The sequence below is a fragment of the Homo sapiens genome, chromosome 18 (genome assembly GCF_000001405.40).
Source record: "Homo sapiens chromosome 18, GRCh38.p14 Primary Assembly".
NCBI lineage: Eukaryota > Metazoa > Chordata > Mammalia > Primates > Hominidae > Homo > Homo sapiens.
The window spans coordinates 2736616-2757986 of NC_000018.10; the positions used below are offsets into that span (position 1 = coordinate 2736616).

The window sequence follows — 21371 nt, forward strand, 5'->3', positions numbered from 1 at the left end:
CATACATGTGGTCAGCAAATATGTGAAAAAATGTTCAACATCATAATCATAATCATGGAGAAATGCAAGTCAAAAGCAAAGAGATACCATCTCACACCAGTCAGAATGTCTATATTTAAAACATCAAAAAATAACAGATGTTGGCAAGATTTTGGAGAAAAGGGAACACTTATGCACTGTCGGTTGGACTGTAAATTAGTTCAGCCACTGTGGAGAGCAGTTTGGAGATTTCTCAACCTTAAATAGAACTATCGTTTGAACCAGCAATACCATTACTGTATATATACCCAAAGGAAAATAATACCATTTCACCAAATATACGTGCAGTTTTCTGTTTATCTCAGCACTATTCACAACAGCAAAGACATAGGTGCCTGTCGGTAGTAGATTGGATAAAGAAAATACACCACAGAATACTACACAGCCATAAAAAAGAACAAAATCATGTCCTTTGCAGCAACATGGATGCAGCTGGAGGCCATTATCCTAAGTGAATTAATGCAGGAACAGGAACCCAAATACTGAATGGTCTCACTTAAAAGTGGGAGCTAAACATTAAATACACATGGACATAAAAATATAGGAAAAGTAGTCACTGGAGATTCCAAAAAAGGGGAGGGTAATAGAGGAGCAGGGGTTGAAAAACTACCTGTTGGGTACTATGCTCATTACCTGGGTGATGAGATAACTCATAGACCAAATCTCAGTGACATGCAATTTATCCATGTAACAAACTTGTATACGTACCTACTGAACCTAAAAGTAGAGGAAAAATAAAGTGTAATTTAGAAATTTTTTTTAAAAAGACTATTAGTGATTTTAAGGCCAGATGTGGTGGCTCACACATGTAATCCCAGCACTTTGAAAGGCTGAGGTGGGAGGATTGCTGGAGGCCAGGAGTTTAAGACCAGCCTGGGCAACATAGTGAGACCACATCTCAACAAAAAATTAGGCAGACCTGGGGTGCATGCCTGTAATCTCAGCTACTCATGAGACTGGGGCAGGAGCATTGCTTGAGCCCAGGAATTGGAGGCTCCAGTGAGCTATGATCATTGCACTCCAACCTGGGCTACAGAGTGAGACCTTGTCTATAAAAACCAAAAATAAAAATAGAATATGAGTGATTTTAAAATCACAACTATAGAAGGCTAAATAAAAGTAGAGAGAAAGTTGAGGTCAGAATTCTTAAATAGAAAGTATTGGGAGTTTAAAAGTAAGTACAGAGTAGAGCAAACAACTTGAAAAAGTATGGATTAAGTGACAAAATATGGAATGTAAGAGGTATAAATTAATACAGAACTAAAAACACCTAAGAAGAGATTAAGGCCAAAGTATGGCCAGAAAGTTAGATCAAACTTCTTTTTTCTCACCTTGCTAAGAATAACGTCCACCTAGATCTCATTGAAAGCTTTCCCATAAATAGGATTCTTTTCAAAAAATAATTGAATATTGCTTTTCAGAATTAATCACATGATCTGATTTATATGTTACTTTTAAACGATAATGGCCACAGTGATACTTTTGTGGCAGAGCTCTAAAGAAATGACTTAAGAATTTTTATTTTATCTCACTAAAAAAATAGGGCAATATTAACAACAAAGACAAAGAGGATGCCTTTGTATCATATTAGTATATGAACCACACCGTTTCTGACCATAAAGAGACTTTTTTCTTGGGGGTGAAGAAGACGGATTATAATGTAGTTTTAAGAGTAAGATAAGTGGCAGTAAGAGAACATTAGACGAAGCTTTATTATTGTTAAATATCTCTTTTTCTCCTAGGTTAATTGGACTCCTGAGATTAACAAAGAACACTTGCTACAGGGTCTGCTTCCTGATGTGCAAGTACCAACATCTGTAAAAGATATGCGCTATTGCCAGGTTTCATTCCAAGATGATCATGTGTCTTTGGAAAGTGCGTTTACAGTAAGGTTTGTGGACTCATTATATTTTGCAGCCTATGGCAACAAAATACTGTCCTCCATTGCACATATATGAAAGTTGTTTTTAATGTAAAAATATTACGGTTTCTATGAAATATAATAGATTGTCTTTGGAATAAAGTGTCATTGGTGATAGCGATTAATTTTTGTTATCACTGTAATCTTGCACTGAATTGGCCTTCTAGTAGCTGGAACCTTCATTAAAGGAAAGTTTAGTGCCAGTAACAGTGAAAACACCTGCAAAATGACAAAGACGTGAAAAATACAAAAGATACAGTGTGATCAGTCAGTGTTGTTCAGAAGGAAAAATCCTTTCATTGCTTAGTGAGAATTTTTAAAGCTGAGAGTCCAACCAGAGTTAATATGTAGAACTCATATTGAAGGGACAGAATTAAGTGAATGTGTAAAAAAAACCTTTACACTGGCCTATCAATTTCTTGGCCACCTCTTTTCCAATAACCTCTTGCACTTTAATTCCTCTACCCATTTCTATACTTTACCCAACACTTAGGATAGTTCTGTTTTTGAGATAGAATTTTCAAATGTACTGCATTCTGACCGTAATGAGATCTCTCAATGAGTTGTTAACTCATCTGTTTTCTTGTCATAATTTCCTTTTAATCCAGCATAAATACTGTGACTTAACATGTCTGTAAGTTTTTGGTCCATATTCTCTACTATCTTTGCAAAGTGTCTTTTTCCTATTTTCTTTTGGATTAATAGCAGATTATATAAATTAAACAGTTATTTGAAGGAGTGTTATTGTATTTGAGTTATTGGATATGAACATTATATATGTGTTATTCTGTAGCATGTTGGAACTACTTCAATTAATGGTGTCACTAAAGACTTCTAACTTGTTAAACAATTTCAGACCACTTCCTGATGAACCTAAACATTTAAAATGTGAAATGAAAGGAGGAAAAACAGTACAGATGGGCCAAGAGCTTCAAGGAGAAGTAGGTTAGTATGGCTTGCTTTAAAAAACAAACAACAAAAAAATCTTCTGTGATGTTTCCTTCCATGGATGTTTTAGATACCTAATCTGAAAGGAAAGCTTTTGGGTTCATATAATGTTACTGATATAAAATCTATTGTCAGATAAGATTGAAGTATTTTCATTATCTTTGCCCAGGCTGACATAGCTTTAAAATCAGTTTGACAAACACATTTTGTCGAAAAAAAATCTTGTCTTTTGTTAGAAGTAATATTACTAGTTAGAAGTTAATAATAAAAGTATAAAGTAAGCTTGGCATGGTACACATGCCTGTAGTCCCAGTTACCCAGGAGGCTGAGGCGAGGGGATTGCCTGAGCCAAGGGGTTTGAGGCCAGCCTGGACAAAATAGTGATACTGTACTCCTAAAAAAATTCTTTTTTTTTTTTTTAACATTATACTTTAAGTTCTGGGGTACATGTGCAGAACGTGCAGGTTTGTTACATAGGTATACACGTGCCATGGTGGTTTGCTGCACCCATCAACCCGTCATCTACATTAGGTATTTCTCTTAAATGCTGTCCCTCCCCTAGCCCCGACTCCCCGACAGGCCCTGGTGTGTAATGTTCCCCTCCCTGGGTCCATGTGTTCTCATTGTTCAACTCGCACTTAAGAGTGAGAACATGTGGTGTTTGGTTTTCTGTTTCTGTGTTAGTTTGTTGAGAATGATGGTTTCCAGCTTCATCCATGTCCCTGCAAAGGACATGAACTCATCATTTTTTATGGCTGCATAGTATTCCATGGTGTATATGTGCCACATTTTCTTTATCTACTCTATCACTGATGGGCATTTGGGTTAAAAAATTCTTTTTTAAACATAAAAGTATAACATACATGTATGAATGGATTCCTATGTATTTTTTCTTATATCTAGAAAATTACATTAAAATATTATCTTCAAATTTTCATGGTAAAAAAATCTGATTAACATTAGCATCGTGTTAAATGTAGTTGAAAATATGCTTATGTAAATTCTTGATGTTTATTTTGTCGTGAATTTAAAAAATGAGTATAATTATTATTTTTGTACCAAAAATTACTCAGTAAGAGAACAAAGAGTAAGTTTCTAAGCATGTTTTTATAGTGTATTGTAGATATTTATATCTTCTATTAAAAGATAATACTAAAATAAAACTTCCCCCTTTTTTAGTTATAATAATTACAGATCAGTACGGAAATCAGATTCAAGCATTTTCACCAAGTTCTTTATCTTCTTTGTCAATTGCTGGGGTTGGACTTGATAGCTCAAATTTGAAAACAACCTTTCAGGTATGGCTACTTTCTATACCATTTTGGTTTGATTTATTCATTGTTATATGTGTAACAAAAAGTTTGGGAAAAACTAGTATAAGAAAAAAGTTTGATTTTAGTTTTTAAATTGAAAAGTCATAAAAGGCATTTTAAAAACTTGAAAAAGTTTGAACATATGCAGAAATAAACATAGAATGAGTATTTCTTGTGTTCCCATCATCTTCAACAGTCATCATTCTCCCCATACCATATCATTTTGAAGCAAATTCCAGACATCATACCATTTTATCCATAAAGATTGTGGTATATAGATTTTTTTGATAGCTTTTCATAGTAGCTGTTTAAATAAAATTTCTTGATGTTTAAACCCTGTATTAACAGGATGATGAGGAGAAAAATCATTATAAAGGTTTGCAACTGTGCACTTAATTCATGTTAGCTTAAAAAATAAAAACTCTGGTGGAATTCTTTCAGTCTAAAACAAACAAGCATGCTGTACTCTGCTTAGAGAGGTAAAGACAGCTTTAGGGAAAAGGACATGCTGGAGTTGGGTCTTCAAGGAACCTGCCAGTAGTAGTCCACAGTGGGTGAGAGAGAAGATCTCTCAGGTCAAAGGGAAGTTAAATTCATTTAGATCATTGAATGCTTTTTAAAACTTTTCCTCCTTTGAGAGTCTCTATTACACTTTTTCTTAACAGAGCAGTCACAAAAATAACTTCCATGTTTCCCTTCTAACTAGAGTTTCTGTCTCCAGTAATCTGTTCTGCTATTTTCTAATGTCGAGCATCATTTTCACTGCTGCGGAACTTTGAATGATATTTTGTTCCCTCCACAATGATAAAATATGCTCTTTGACTTTTAGTTTCTTCCATTTTCTAGCTTCACCCTACACGTAGATGAAATCAGAAAATAAATGCGCTCCTGTTATGAATAAACAATCCCTGCTTCCTATCACTCTGCGCACAGGCTCCTAATTGCTCCTAAATTATAACCTGTCTTCCTACATCTTCAGTTATCTCTTCCACTAGAGCAGTCCCACCAGCATGTAAACATGCTGGAATGTCTCTCATCTTAAACAAACAAAAGGAAAAATCCCTCCAGAAAAACCAGCAAAGCTTCCTTTGGCCCTGTATTCCTGTCCATCTACTGCCCTCCTCCATTTTATAGTAAAACTCCTTGGAAGAGTTGTATGTTTTCACATCCTTTTCTGTCATTCTGTAGCAAGCCACTCTGATCATGTTTTTCTGCTCTGTTCTACCTGACCAAATCCAGGGGTCAATTTTCAGTTCTCATGCTACCCATTAGACCTATCAGCATGTTACATTCTACTGCATTTGAAATCCATTGCCTTAGTATGGCCTGTAATACCTATAGTATTCCACCCTACCATAATCTCACCCCTTTCTCTCTCCATAGCTCTTTACTCTCCAGCCAAGTGGACTTTTTTTCTACTTCTGTCTTTCTGTAATTGACGTATACTATCTTGGCTCATTTTCGGAATTGTGTATTTAATTCTGTTTGTACCCATCTACAATTTGTAAATGCAATTTCATTTCTAAGATTTGAAATAAAACCAGAACAACTTCCAACATGACTTTAAAAAGAAATCACCCCTTCAGAAGGGCTTTTGGTTCAGAAGAGCTATCAAATTTGGAACCCTAAGATAGACTTTGCATATTTTGAACTTCAGTACATTTTACTAAGGAATATCTATTTAATTAGTTTTCTGAATATTGAAAAATTCTTCTGTGCTTATTGGGCTTTTCGGAGAGATTAATTTTGATTATTTTACAGTGACTTTTTACATAAAATATTCTGTTCTACAGATCATTGTTTGAGAACATAAAACATGAAGTTTTCTCTCTGATTTATTTATTTAATTTTTCGAAACAGGATCTCACTCTTTTGCCCAGGCTGGAGTGCAGTGCAGTGTTGTGAATATGGCTCACTGTAGCTTCAACCTCCTGGGCTCAAGTGATCCTCCCACCAGAGCCTCCCAACTAGCTAGGACTATAGACGCATGCCACTACACCTGGCTAATTTTAAAATTTTTTGTAGAGACGGGGTCTTACTGTGTTGCCCAGGCTGGTCGTGAACTGGGCTCAAGGGATCCTTCCACCTTGGCCTCGTAAAGTGCTGGGATTATAGTCAGGAGCCACTGTGCCTGGCCTGATTTTAAAATTTTGCTGAAATATTGTTACAGCAGCCCAGAAACAAAAATAAAATTTTGATGAAGTAGATTTGTACCTAGCAGAAATTTAAGATGAATAAATCATCAAGGGTCACCATTAAAATACAAATACTGCAGCACTCACGCCAGTGTGGAATCATTCAGTCATATTGCAAAGATTATAGGCTAGTTTCATTGATTCTCATTAATATGATGTGTTACGCATTATTCTAAGTAATAGAGATTGAGTAGTGACAAATCAAAGCTCCTGACCTTGTGGAAATCATCTTGTCATGGAGAGAACATGCAATAGATAAGAAATAAGAGGTAAGAAAAATGAAGTAAAGAAGGGGATAGATAGTATGCCAATAAGTAAGGTGATCAGGGAAGAGCCTCTTATTAAGGTATCATGTACAAAAATCTAAAGACAAACAGTGTGTATATCTGGTAAATAATGTTGCAAACAGAGGGAAAGAACAAGTATAAAAGCTATTCAGGTAGCAGAAAGGAGGAAGTATAAAGAAGAGGGAAATTAAGAAAAGATAAAATAAAGAGACATTGCCAGAACCTTTTAGATCCCCTACCCCTTGAAAGAAAAAATTCAGTTTCTCCTCTCTTGAAAATAAAATGCATGGCATGCCATTATTGCATGGGTGCTATTTATTTTCTGTCATGTTACCAAGAAACACATCTGTACGCCCATGGGTTAATGACAAAACATTTTATTTTGTTTTTCTGAACACTAAGTGATACCCCCTGTCTTTCTCAATGTACTTTTCCTCACTAGGAAAACACACAGAGTATAAGTGTAAGAGGCATCAAATTTATTCCAGGTCCTCCTGGAAATAAGGATCTTTGTTTTACTTGGCGTGAGTTTTCTGACTTTATTCGAGTGCAACTAATTTCTGGACCTCCTGCTAAACTTCTCCTTATAGACTGGCCAGAACTAAAGGAGGTAAGTCACTTCATGTCTTCACTGAAAGAATTTAATATCATATGGCTTATTACTTTCAGATTGTCAGTGAATCAGAATAGATATATTTTGTTGCTGAAGTAACAACTAACAGTTGTTAACAGTAAAAATAACAAAAAAGCAAGGTAATGTGAGTCTTAATACTTTGTTATTTGATTCATCATTGTGTCCTCATTTGTTAAAAATAATGAGTGTAATAATTCAGATCTTAAAAACTACATTACAGAGGATTTCAAGCATGCATAAAAATAAAAAGAATAGTGTAGCAAACTCCCATGTGCCAATTACCTAGTTTCTACAGTTACTGATTTTTGCCAATTTTGTTCTTTGTTTTCTTATACTAATCTAATAACTTTTTATTGGAGTTTTAAAAAGCATATCTCAGACATCAAGTCATATCCGTAAATACTTCGGTATGCCTTCCTATGCAAGTACTTAAATTTTAAATACTAATTTTGTAAATGTCTGTCAAATCTGTTTTTTTTTTTTACTGAAGTTTCAGAATTCTAATTTGATTGACAGACAAAAATTGTACATATTTATTGTGTACAACATATTTTGAAATATGTATACATTGTGGAATGGCTAAATCAAGCTAATTAACGCACATATTCTCATACTTTTTTTTGTGGTGAAAACATTTGAAATCTATTCTCTTAGCAGTTTTGAAGAATCATCTTGTCACGGAAAGGACATGCAATAGATGAAGCAGTTTTGAAGAATAGTAATATACTATTAACTGTAGTCATCATCATACAATAGATCTTTTGAACTTAATACTCCTAACTGAAATTTTGTATCCTTTGATGGAATTCTAGTTTTAAAATGTCCAGATTCTGACATTTGCTTATGGAATAGCAGGGCTTTAATGGTTTTTTTGTTTGTTTTGTTTTGTTTTGTTTTTGTTTTGAAAGAGTTTCACTCTTGTTACCCAGGCTGGCGTGTGGAATGCATTGGCACGATCTTGGCTCACTGCAACCTCCACCTCCTGGGTTCAAGCGATTATCCTGCCTCAGCCTCCCAAGTAGCTGGGATTACAGGCATGTGCCACCATTCCTGGCTAATTTTGTATTTTAAATAAAGATAGGGTTTCACCTGTTGGCCATGGTTGGTCTCAAACTCCTGACCTCAGGCGATATGTCCGCCTTGGCCTCCCGAAGTGCTGGGATGACAGGCATGAGCCACTGCACCCGGCCAGGACTTTTAACTGTTGATGTGATAGCTAACTTTGAAACAAGTTTTATTTATTTTTAATAGAGACTGGGTTTCACCATGCTGACCAAGCTGATCTTGAGCTCCTGGGCCCAGGCAATTCTTCTGCCTCATTCTCGCAAAGTTCTGGGATTACAGGTGTGAGCCACCGTTCCCAGCCCATGTTTTCTGTAAAAGAAAATGAAGTCACACAATCATGGTAGTAGGTGAATTTATCTTAGTAAAGGGGCAGGTCATCTAAGAAAGGTTAACATGCTCATGCCTTAGTTTGAGATTGATCTTTTTCACTTGTGAGTTTAAAAAGCAGATAAACTGGTTGTGACAGTGTGCTTTATAAAACACAGTTTTTAGAATAATAGTGTGTTGACTAAAGGGTTTTACTGAAAAGCCAGTGCATTTTTTTTTCTGGGAGCACTTACAAAACATAAATTAACCCACTTTTTATACCTACTGATGCCAGTGAAGTATTTGTTGATTGACTGTTACCTGGAACAGTTGTGTGGAACAGTTTTGAGGTGGAAAAAGTCTGGACATGTTTGTCTTATATCGTTTTGGGGGACAAATATAAAAAATAATGACAGCTTGTTAGCTCAAAAATTTATTATAAGAGTTATTTGTAGATCCGTAATAATCCAGAAATTTAAAATAAAACATAAACTAATATATCAGTCTCTTGAGATATGGTTATATATAGATGAGGCTAGAAAAATGATTATTTGATATCTAATTTTTCTAAGTTTTCTAATTTAATTGCTGACCCACCTTCCCCCTGATAGGATCTGTGCAGAGAGGAGGAACTGATATAATACATTAACATGATGAATAGAAAAATAGATGTGTATTAATAAATACATATATTATTCTTTATAAATGAGGGAACTGGCCAGGTGCAGTGGCTCATGCCTTGTAATCCCAACACTTTGGGAGACCAAGGTGGAGGAATTGCTTGAGCCCAGGAGTTCAAGACCAGGTGGGGCAACATAGTGATAATTTGTTTCTGTAAAAAAGTAAAAAAATAAAATAAAATACAAGTAAATGAGGAAACTGAAATTCTGAAATATTAACATGCCAGTATTAAAAAGTGACATTAAATGTGATATTAAAATGCTTATGGACATTTGATTTTGGAAATTTGCTTTTTCTACTATTTTCTAGAAAACATTAGCAGTTTGGACTACAAGTCATTTACTTAAAGATAACCTTTAAAAGTAGATAGGAGTCCTTTAAAAACTTAGACTGTCCTTTAAAGGTAGTTTGGGTAAACAGTTATTTGATTAGGAATGAAATACTGTATGTTTACATTTGGAAACTCAGCAGTTTTCAAAATTCAAGCTTTTTATAAACTTTGGCAGAGGGAACATGGCTGTAGCTGTGTAAACTTTATGGTAGAGGGACATAACTAAACCAATCTCAAGGGTGTTTGGTTTTTTTCATAATGTCTTATTCATAGCAGACTGTTAATTTTTCTTTCCATTTTCAGCAGCCTTTCCCCATAATCTGGTAACCAGCTACCTCAGTTAAGAGTAGGGGGTAGAAGCAGCAGAAGGAACTTTCTTGTTAGAGGAGAGGTGATAAATCAGTTTTTTTTTGTAGTTGTCCTTTAGTTCCCTTCCATCTTTTGTAAACTTTTAAAATGTTGGCCCAGGGGATTGGGCTTTTGTCAGGTATCTTGTTTAACACTGTGTTTCCTTTGATGTGCCCAATATTAATAGGTCAGTAGGCAGATTTCTAGATTTATACAGCCTTATATACTAGCTGGGGAAACAGCAAGAAGCATTTTAAATCAGCAAGACAGTGTAGATCATCAGTGAATAGTCCTATTTAACCAAGGGCTAGAAAGCCATGTTACTGCTTTTAATGCACAATAGCAGAGAGCTGAACACTGACTGAGGGAGAAGCTAAACTACAGATTGCCAATGCTAAATCTGAGAACCAAAGATAGGTTTCTGTTGCTGTTGAACACATTCTAGTGCTTACATAGCATTTGCGTTGTATTAGATGTTAAAAGTAATCTAAAGATGATTTCAAGTGTATGCTTAGGTTATATGCAAATACTATGCAATTTTATATAAAAGAGTACCTGCAGCTTTTGGTATCCACTGGGGTCTAGAACCAATCTCCTGTGGATACTGAGGGAAGACTGTAATGTCAGGTGTTGCTTTTTCTTTTTTCAGATCATTTATCATTTTGATAAGAGGGTCACACAATTTAGTTGGCTTTCAAAAGTTCATTTTCATTGACCAAAGAAGCCATTTGCAAATAGAACAGAGATAAATTAAGTGATCGTTACACAAATATACAAGTAATTGCATTGTTTGGCCCATATATTTTAGTGTTTCTTAAAATATTTCTATTCTTTTCAGTCCATTCCAGTGATTAATGGAAGAGATTTACAGAACCCTATTATTGTTCAACTTTGTGATCAGTGGGATAATCCAGCACCGGTACAACATGTTAAAATAAGTCTTACAAAAGCTAGCAATTTAAAGGTAAGTTTTAAACTTCCTTACATCTTCATTTAAAATTCTGGATTTCATTTTCATGATAGTATCTTTAGCTGTCATATTGCTTCTTTTCTAAAAAATATATTTTACATAATCTTTATTATTGCTTAGTGTAAATAAACCTCAAAAATTTTTAAAATTATTTTGAGGAAATAAAGTTTATATCTTACAGTAGTACAACAAGGGGCCAACATTGTACAGTTATGGCTGTTTTAGTGTTTCTTATATAGTGCTAGTAAGACTTGCATTTCAGATTAGGATGAATAAATAGATAATTAACACTGACAAAGTGAATGAAGACAGATATCACAGTGACCTACAGAATGGATTAAGGAACAGGCATTATTGGGGAAACATACATGGTGAGGCTAAACAAAAAAAGTCTTGCAGGTACCTATCCTCTACTTATCTTATGGAGAGCTACCAAATCCTGGGCAGAGCTACTGGAACATACTGATATATTTTAGGGTGAGGCTCCTGCCCTTTATTGTTCTTTTTATGGGGCAAGTATGAACATGGTCTTGTAAAGTTTGGGAACAGTCTTGACTACCAGAAAGTTCAAGATTAGGTATCATTTATTCCTATGAGTATTGAGAAGCTGCATGGGATCTAGTGGCTGGTGCAAAGTTGGAGGCACTCCTTCTAGGGGAAAGAGGAAAAGCTGCTAGTCTTTGCAAAGTTGTGTGTGTGTGTGTGTGTGTGTGTGTGTGTGTGTGTGTGTATATAAATTTTTTTTTTTTTTTTTTTGGAGACAGAGTCTCGCTGCAACGCCCCAGGCTGGAGTGCAGTGGCGTGATCTTGGCTCACTGCAACCTCTGCCTCCCAGGTTCAAAGCAATTCTCCTGCCTCCGCCTCCTGAGTAGTTGGGATTACAGGCATGTGCCATCATGCCCAGCTAATTTTTGTATTTTTAGTACAGACGGGGTTTCACCACGTTGGCCAGGCTGGTCTCAAACTCTTGACCGCGGGTGATCCACCCGCCTTGGTCTCCCAAAGTGCTGGGATTACAGGTGTGAGCCACTGCGCCTGGCCATAAAGTTGTATTTTTATACTGTCTCTTCTGTTGGTTGAAGGGAATTCATTGGTCCCAGCCAGGTTGTTGCTAAGCAAGCCAGAGGGAGTTGGGGTCATATTCAGACAATCTTGAGTATCCCTCCACATATAAAAAATAAATATAAATGTAATGGAGAAACCAGTTGATATCATGTAAAGATGATGTTTCTCTTGCAATTATTTATAGTTCAATCAGAATCCCAACAGGGATTTCCCAGAACCTGAAAAGGTGATCTTAAAAGTCGTATGGAAGATTAAAGTGCCAAGAATGGCTTGTTACACATGGACCTGTTTTCATAGTAATTACAGTTGGAGTTTTTAAATGAGTCTGTTAAATGAGGCTATGATACTGCTGCTCTAAGACCTGAAAAGACTTACTTCTCTGGCTTAGCAGTAAGGATTTGATACCCAGATGGGAGACATACTTTGAGAAAGATGGGTTGAGAGACAATGGACCAGAGGGTAATTGGGACAGGTATAAACATAGGATTTCATCCTATCATTTCAAGTACCCTTTCTCATTTTTTCCTGTTCAGCTATTGCTTTTCCTGTCTGCATGTACCATTATTACCTACTCTTTAGGTTCTATTAAGTTGAGATGGGTTTTAGGATTTGGGAGAAAGTCTGATTTTTCTTCTACTGTGGTCTACAAATTCACTGTTATTCTGAATGTTTGCTTCCAGTAGAGTTAGACAATGATTACTTTCAACCCCAGAATAAAGATATGATTCTAGTTTCTGGAGAACCATCTGTAAAAGGCTGAGAGACCCTTCTAGACCAGTTATTAGGAAATGTGGCCACTGATTCTTAATCTCTTGAAAGTGAAAGCTTGGTTATCACTGTGAATGTAGTATTGCAGCAAAAATTTGAGAAGTGTATCTGAGTAGACTTTCAAGAGAAAAATGAAGAATGAAGATAGTGCTATGATGCTTTGACTTGAGTATGTGTGTACAGTATATATTTCTCCAGTGCAGTCCCCTATACCTGCCCCAGCTTTAGAATATACCTTCTGTGTTTGTGTAAACAAACTTCATTTGATCTATCAGTGATATTGAAACAGTGAACTAGAAATCTGCAACTTAGTAACTGAAATACATTAAATTCTAGTGAAATTGATCAAGATGAGTGATTGTTATTCTACTTTGGATTATATCATTACATACTACATTATTCCAACTAGTTCAGATTTTTAAAATTTAGATTTTAGAAGTATGCAAATACTGCTTTTAAAATAGGAATAGAGGGAAAGAACATTGTAATGGAAGAAAAGAACTTGATTGATCTCTAGAATTTTCTAATTAACCATTTTGTTTTGTTTTGTTTTTAGCTCATGCCTTCAAACCAACAGCATAAAACAGATGAGAAAGGCAGGGCTAATTTGGGAGTATTCAGTGTTTTTGCCCCTAGGTAAGAACCAAAAGTTTGATAGTTGTTGGTGTTATAGAGATTCGTTTTTCTTACTGCTTGCCGAAGTTACAGCTAATGACTATCCTTCTGTTTAATGTTAGGCAAGAGTTGGGACTGAATAGAAGTTGAGAGGTTTTTCTAAGAGTTGAACTTTGCATAAATTGTCTCAGAATTTTTAGGTTATTAACTAATGTAATTTGAACCCCTCTCCTCTTTTGTTTTGTTAGGGGAGAGCATACTCTTCAGGTTAAAGCCATCTATAACAAAAGTATCATAGAAGGACCTATAATTAAGTTAATGATTCTTCCAGACCCAGAAAAACCCGTTCGTCTCAATGTTAAATATGACAAAGATGCATCCTTCTTAGCAGGGGGTCTTTTCACTGGTGAGTATTTCACATACATAAATAAATCTATAATGATAATTTGCTTTGTACATTAGTGGAATAAATTACTTATCCTAGGTTAAGTGTGCTCAGTCTAATGTAGGAGACAGGGAAGCAAATGATTTCAATATCATGTTGCAGATGTTAAGTCAATAGGAAATTAGTTTTTGTTTTACACAAATAATTTTCTGGAAGACTTCTGTTTTCTTAAAAGGATGAATCCCTATACATAGTTTTAAGTAGTGAATGAAGCACCTCAAAGTTTAGATTTAAAAATTGTTGACAATAATTTTTAATAATCAAGTTACATGTATACATAGCTTTTTTTACCCTATAAAGTAGACTATACCGTATATAAAGTTTTAAATCTATTTCAGGGAGATCTATTTCCTGTGATTAAAAAATTAGTAACAGGTGCCAAATGAATGTTACAGGTGGTAAATATAATGGGAATATTATATATATTGATCTTTTGGCTATTATATGCTATCGAAAATCATACAAGAAAGTAAATATTCTGTTCTTGGAATACATAAAGCATATGGTGCTATGACCAATTGGCCTAACTCTTAAGTTGCTGAGTATACATTCTAGTCTTTTTGGTCTTGTATGCTAGAATTTATACATTTCTTCATCAGAATTGTATTAACATTTAAATAACGTGTGCTTTAAACATTTAAATAAGATGTTTGCTTTAAGGCATACAATTATTTAACCATATCCATTAATTGAACTAGAAAGAGATAATTTTTTAACGTTTACCATGACAGATTTTATGATTAGTGTTATTTCTGAAGATGACAGTATCATTAAAAACATTAATCCAGCACGTATTTCCATGAAAATGTGGAAGCTGTCTACCAGTGGGAACCGACCCCCAGCAAATGTGAGTCATGGGAAGCATTTTTTGAAGTTAAAAATAGTTCTTACATTTAACTTAAAACTAAGTCTCCTTTAATGTAAATATATAATGTTATATAAATTTGAGAAATGGAAGTGAATTTACTTCATTCCTTTGGGGTTAAAGAAATTACATCAATGTATGTTTCAAAATTAAAGATTGATGCTATTGAAAAAGAGTAGTCTACATTGTGATGTTTCTTAACATTTTAAGATGCCTACACATTAAAATTATTTCATCTGAAGGACAGTAGCACAAGGCAGAAGCTATTAAATATGAGGGGATAATATAGAAAATGAGATAGTAAAGAGATAGGATTGATAGACTGCTTGAAAGAGAGTGGAGAGTTAGAGGGTCTAGAACAGTGCTGTCCAGTGGAAAGATCATACCTGGTGTTTCTGCTTTCTAGTAGCTACATTTAAAAGCTAAAAAGAAATAAGTAAAATTCTAATGTTTTTAACCTAATATATCAAAAGTTACCATTTCAACATATATTCAATAGTTTAAAAATTATTGCTAGGATTTTACGTTCTTTTATCTTACCAAGTCTATGAAATTTGGTGTTTATTTTACACTGTATATCAGTTCAGACCAGCCACATTTCAAGTGCCCAGTAGTCACACATAGCCATTGGCTACCATATTGGATAATGCAGATCTGAAATAAATCTAAAATTGGGAACTAAAGTTTATCAGTGTCCTGATATAATAATCTACTTCAACATTTATGGTTCATTTTAATCATTGGTTTTGGAAACTATCTTGCTTAATTAATCCTGAATCTTTGCTTGCTTAATTTAGACCATCAGTCCAATCAAGTTGGTATTATCTTTAAATAATATCACCATAAAGTTCTACTGTGTGTCTTTTAATAATGGGGTGTCTTTCCACTGTCACTAATCTCACATTGTACCTTACATGTATTATGAAGATATAAACGTGTGTATATATACCTGTATGTTTATAAATGGAATCCAGATACACATTCAGTTTAGGTATATAATAAGCTTTCCTCCTAAGTATACTATGTTAAATTTTGTCATTTTCCCCTCTCCCCTTCTCTCCTACTCCCCTTTCTAGGCAGAAACATTTAGTTGTAATAAAATAAAAGATAATGACAAAGAAGATGGCTGCTTCTATTTCAGGTATTTCTCAAAACATTTCATATTTTGAATACATATCTTGTTACAAAGTAATTCAACCCTGGAGATATATGTGGGCTCACCTGAGGAAAAGTAATTTATGATCAAATAGAAATGTTAGTGTCTCTAAATTTTTCTCAGTTTTTTGGGAAAAGGTGTGTTTTCGTTTTTAAGCATTAAATTGGTTTTAAGCTTTGTAAATTGTAATTGTATTTGCTTTTGAAACTATCGAAGCCATCAGAAGAATTCTTTTATGTTGTCAGGGCACTTTATAACTTCTTATTATATAGGAGGTTTCTATAAAGATTAGACTGGCTTTTAACATTTCTGTGACTTTGAGCATGTTGCTGCTTCATTCTGGACCTCCATTTTCAAATCTAAAAACATTATGTGTTAAGTTTCTTTACAAATCCTTTATCATCAATAGGGTCAAAATGCTCATTATATTTGTTCAGTGCTTTTTCAGACTAATTGGTAAAGGACCAATCATGGAAGCTCCACCCCTTACCTCTTCCAGTTATTACCGTCTTCCTTCCTGTTGTGCATGCCATGCACACACTCATGTAGACACACACATGCACACACCACAAACCCTCTCCTGATTTGGTCTTATTTAGAGTTCCGTTTATCTTAGCATACATCTCTATAGTCTCTGATTTAGTTGTGCCCATTTTTGAACTTGATATACAATTATTTTCCTTTGCATAAGACTTCTTTCACTCAGCATCATGAGATTCTGTGGCATATAGCTATAAATTCATTCATTTCCATTGCTGTATAGAAGTCCATTGTGTGAACACACTACTATTTTCCATTCTGTTAATGGCTATTTGCATTTTCAATTTTGGGCTATTACAAATAATCTTTATAACACTGGTGCTCATATAAAAGTAAAATTGCTGGGTCATAAGTTCATAGATGTGTATATTTAAATATAGATGTGTATGTTAGATGTTAAATATAGATGTTAAACATAGATGTGTGTGTTTAACTTGAGTAGCTTGAGGGTTTATTTCTTTTTAATACATAGCCTTGCTAGAGTGCAATGCCTAGAGTGCAGTGGCTCACTGCAACCTCTGCTTCCCTGGCTCAAGCGAGCCCCCTGCCTCAGCCTCCCAAGTAGCTAGGACTACAGGAATGTGCTGCCATGCCCAGCAAATTTATTTATTTATTTATTTTGTGTGTGTGTGGAGACTGGGTTTCACCAAGTTGCTCTGGCTAGTCTCGAACTCCTGAGCTCAAAGCCATCTGCCCACCTCAGCCTCCCAAAATGGTGGGATTACAAGCATGAGCCACCGTGCCCGGCCCTTCCCAACACGGTTTTGTGGGTCTTTTCAGGTGTAATCTTCTGGTGGACATGTAATAGAGTGGCATCACACTTACTCTTAATTTGCATTTCCCTGTTTATCATATATTTATTGGCCACTTAGATTACCTTTTGTGAAGTGCCTTTTTTGAGTATCTTAATAACTTTTGTATTATTTTTTATATTAATTTGTAGGAGTTCTTTATATATTAGAGATACAAGCCTTTTGTTTAGACATCTTTGCCTATCCTGTGGCTTGCTTTCTCATTTTATGATATCTTGAACAGCAGTGGTTAATTTTTATATAAGCAAATGTGTTAATCATCTTTTTTATAGTTGATCTTCTTTGTGTCCTGTTTAAGTCTTTCCTTACATTTAGGTCATCAACACATTTTACTATATTATTGTGTTGGGGGTTCCCAATACCAATGCCAGGTTTGATGATTCACCAGGAGGACTCACAGGACTTAATATATAGCTGGGCTCATAGCTATGTTTTATTGAAACAAAAGGATTCAAAGTGAAATGAGCAAGGTAAAAAGCTCATGGGGTGATGTCCAAGGGAAAGCAGACACAGAGGAAGCTTTCCAAGGATTCTGTCTTGGTGAAGTCACAGAGTATGTGCTTAATTCCCCAACAATAAATTGTGACAATGCGTATAAAATGTTGTCAACCAGGGAAGCTCACTGGGGACTCAGCATTCAGGGTTTTTGTTAGGGTGTGGTCACATAGGCAGCCTCTGCCTAGCAAATACCAGATTTTCAGAAGAAAAGCAAGTGTGTAGCATAAACCATATTAGTGCAGTGGTTTAGGCAATGTGAGCCACTCATATCAGTTAAAGGTGAGAACCCTCCTGAAATCTAAACTCACAGATGTCTGCGAAGGGCCCATCTTGCAAGCAGACAAGTGCTTCTAAGGATAGCACTTTAGGTTTGCTGTGTTCTTTTTATACAGTTATACGTGGAATTGATTTTTTTTTTTTTTAATGTATAGTGTGAGGCCAGGTGCGGTGGCTCACACCTATAATCCCAGCACTTTGGGAGGCAGAGGCAGGCAGATCACATGAGGTCCATCGTAAATGATATCTCCTAAAACATTTTTATTTTCTGTTGTTTTTGGTTAGAGAGATGCAATTGATTTATGTATATTGACCTTGTAGCAGTTATCTTTGTTAAACTCCTTCATTTCTTATTTTAAATAATTAATTAATTAATTTAGAGACAGGGTCTCACTATGTCACCCAGGCTGTAGTGCAGTGGTGCAATCATGGCTCACTGTAGCCTTGACCTCCCAGGCTCAAGCAATCTTCCTACCTCAGCCTCTCAGGCAGCTGGGACTACAGACCCACAGCACTACGCCTGACTTATGATTTTATTTTTTGTGGAGACAGGGTCTTACTATGTTGTCTGGGCTTGTCTTAAACTCTTGGGCCTTAGCCTACCAACTAGCTGGGACTATGGGCCCACACCACCACACTTGGTTGATTTTTTAATTTTTGTGGACTCAAGGTCTCATTGCAGGTCTTGAACTCCTGAGTTCAAGCAATCCTCCCACCTCAGCCTCCCAAAGTGCTGGGATTACAGATGTGAGCCACCACTCCTGGCTCTGATTTTATTTGTAGATTCTTTGGGATTTAAGAAAAATGTCTAGGATTTATAATAGTAGGTTTGTTATTTTCCAGTTTTTGTGTATTTTCTTTTTCTTTCTTTCTTTTTTTTTTTTTTTTTTTTGAGATGGAGTCTTGCTCTGTCTCCCAGGCTGGAGTGCAGTAGCATGATCTTGGCTCACTGCAAGCTCTGCCTCCCGGGTTCATGCCATTCTCCTGCCTCAGCCTCCGGAGTAGCTGGGACTATAGGCACCTGCCACCACGCCCAGCTAATTTTTTGTATTTTTAGTAGAGACAGGGTTTCACTGTGTTAGCCAGGATGATCTCGATCTTCTGACATTGTGATCCACCCGCCTTGGCCTCCCAAAGTGCTGGGATTACAGGTGTGAATCACCGCCCTCGGCCGTGTATTTTCTTTTTCTTATCATACCACAGCATCTTGGATTTACAGCAAAATGTTAAATAGACATGATGAGAGTGATCATCCTAATCTGGTTTCGAATCTCAAAGGGAACATTTCAGCATTCCACCACTAAGTGTGATGTTTGCTTTAGAGTTTTTCTTTTATCAAACTGTTCATTTCTAAGTCTTAATTATAAATTGACTTCAGATTTCATCATCTATTGAGGCACTATGTGATATTTTTCCTTTACTTTTAAAATCCTTTAAGACATTATTACTTTACTTTTTAATGTGGTAATTATAGTACATTAGTTTTCTGAATGGTCAGCCAACCTTGCAATTACTGGAATAAACCCAATTTTATCATGTTGTATTATTTTTATATATCGATGGAGGTGTTTTGCTAATATTTTCTTAGGATTTTTGCATCTACCTTGATCTTTGAAATTAACCTGCATTTTCTTTCTTACACATTCTTAGTTTGCTGTCTACATCATGTAGCCCTCACAAAAGTAGGAAGAAATTTTCCCTCAGTCTTGGTTTATTCTTAGGAGAATCTTAAGAGTGTTATTCCTTCCTTAAATGGTGATAGATTCATCAACGAAGCCATCTGAGCCTGGTGTTTTTGTGGGGGGAAGGTTTTAGTGATGGATTCAGTTTGTTCAAATTCAGAAGTTATAGAACTATTTGTATTTCCTGTCTCTTGCTCAGTTTTGATATCTTGTAATTATCAAACTATCTTTTTTTTCTGAGACAGAGTCTCGCTCTGTTTCCCAGGCTGGAGTGCAGTGGCATGATCTCAGCTCACTGCAACCTCCACCTCCCTGTTCAAGCGATTCTCCTGCCTCAGCCTCCCAAGTAGCTGGAACTATAGGCATGCACCACCACTGTCTGTCAGACTATCAATTTTATCTAAATAAATAGATAATTTAAATAAATAGGCTGTCAGACTATTAATTTTATCTAAATTTTCAAATTTGTTGTTCATACCGTTCTGTTTATTTTCTGTAAGATCTGTGATCTCTCATTCTTGACACTATTTGTACTCTCTTGTGGCTTGATTAATCGTAGTAAGAGATTTCAATTTTTTAGATCTTTTAAAGAACAAACTTTGGGCTTTTAAAATATATTTTATGTGTTTTATTTAATTTCATTTACTTTGCATTTCATTTGTTCTTTTATTAAAACTGCTTGAGAAGGTTTTTTAGCTCATTTATTTTGGTCACACACACAAAACATGTATATGTGTATATGTATGTAGAGCTGTACATTTCTAAGCATAACTTTAATAGCATTCACAAGTTTTATGTATTTTATTTTTATTAGTATTTGGATCAAAAATTGTTTTTTCTTTTTTCTTTTTTTGAACCAGAGTGTCGCTCTTTCATCCTGGCTGGAGGGCCATGGTGTGATTATAACTCATTACAGCCTTGAACTCCTGGATTCAAGCAATCCTCCCACCTTAGTCTCCTTAGTAGCTAGGACTACAGATGTGTGCCACCACACCCAGCTAATTTTTTTTTTTAATTTGGTAGATATCAGGGCCTCACTGTGTTGCCCAGATTGGTCTCAAACTCTTGGTCTCAAGCAGTCCTCTCACTGCAGCTTCCCAAAGTGCTGATTACAGGCATGAGCCACTGAGCCCACCCTTGGATTAAAATATTTTCTAATTTTCATTGTGATTTCATCCTTTGACCATGGCTTATTCAGATGTTTACTGAATTGTGAAATTTAGTTTACCCTGTATGATTTCAGTCCTTTGAAATTAGTTGTTATTTGTTTTTGTGCTGGGAATATAGTCAATTTTTGTATATGTTCCAAATATACTAGATAATAATGTGATTTTTGCATTTGAGGTACAGTGTTCTATATCTTTTATATTTTTTGTCTGTTTCACCTAGCAGTGTAGTAAATCTCCAAGTATGAACGAAGATTTGTCTATTTTTTCTCTTAGTTTACATAAGAGAACAAATACATATTTTGAGGCTTTGTTATTAGGTACATACAGACTTAGATTATTATTATTATTTTTTTCTTGCAAATTAAACCTTTTATTATTATGAAGTATTCTTTTTCTCTAGTAACGTTTTTGCCTTAAAGTTTACTTTGGTAATAGTATACCA

At 35.3% G+C, this 21371-nt stretch overlaps 1 protein-coding gene across 10 annotated transcripts in view; it reads left to right on the plus strand.

Annotated features, from left to right (window-relative positions):
• SMCHD1 (structural maintenance of chromosomes flexible hinge domain containing 1) overlaps nucleotides 1–21371 on the plus strand; it is a 149292-nt gene that overhangs the window by 80890 nt on the left and 47031 nt on the right. For 9 of the 10 annotated variants that reach the window (XR_001753172.2, XR_935055.3, XR_007066135.1 and 6 more), the window contains 9 exons: nucleotides 1782–1930; nucleotides 2817–2905; nucleotides 4088–4206; nucleotides 7146–7313; nucleotides 10907–11032; nucleotides 13428–13507; nucleotides 13735–13892; nucleotides 14663–14778; nucleotides 15873–15937. Coding sequence is in view for 7 of the 10 variants with exons in the window: in XM_011525642.2 (XP_011523944.1) it covers nucleotides 1782–1930; nucleotides 2817–2905; nucleotides 4088–4206; nucleotides 7146–7313; nucleotides 10907–11032; nucleotides 13428–13507; nucleotides 13735–13892; nucleotides 14663–14778; nucleotides 15873–15937 (1070 nt within the window). In the remaining 3 variants the exon portion in view is untranslated. Of the gene's footprint in view, nucleotides 1–1781; nucleotides 1931–2816; nucleotides 2906–4087; nucleotides 4207–7145; nucleotides 7314–10906; nucleotides 11033–13427; nucleotides 13508–13734; nucleotides 13893–14662; nucleotides 14779–15872; nucleotides 15938–21371 lie in introns of those variants that run through there. The other variant, XM_047437429.1, reaches the window with a different exon arrangement.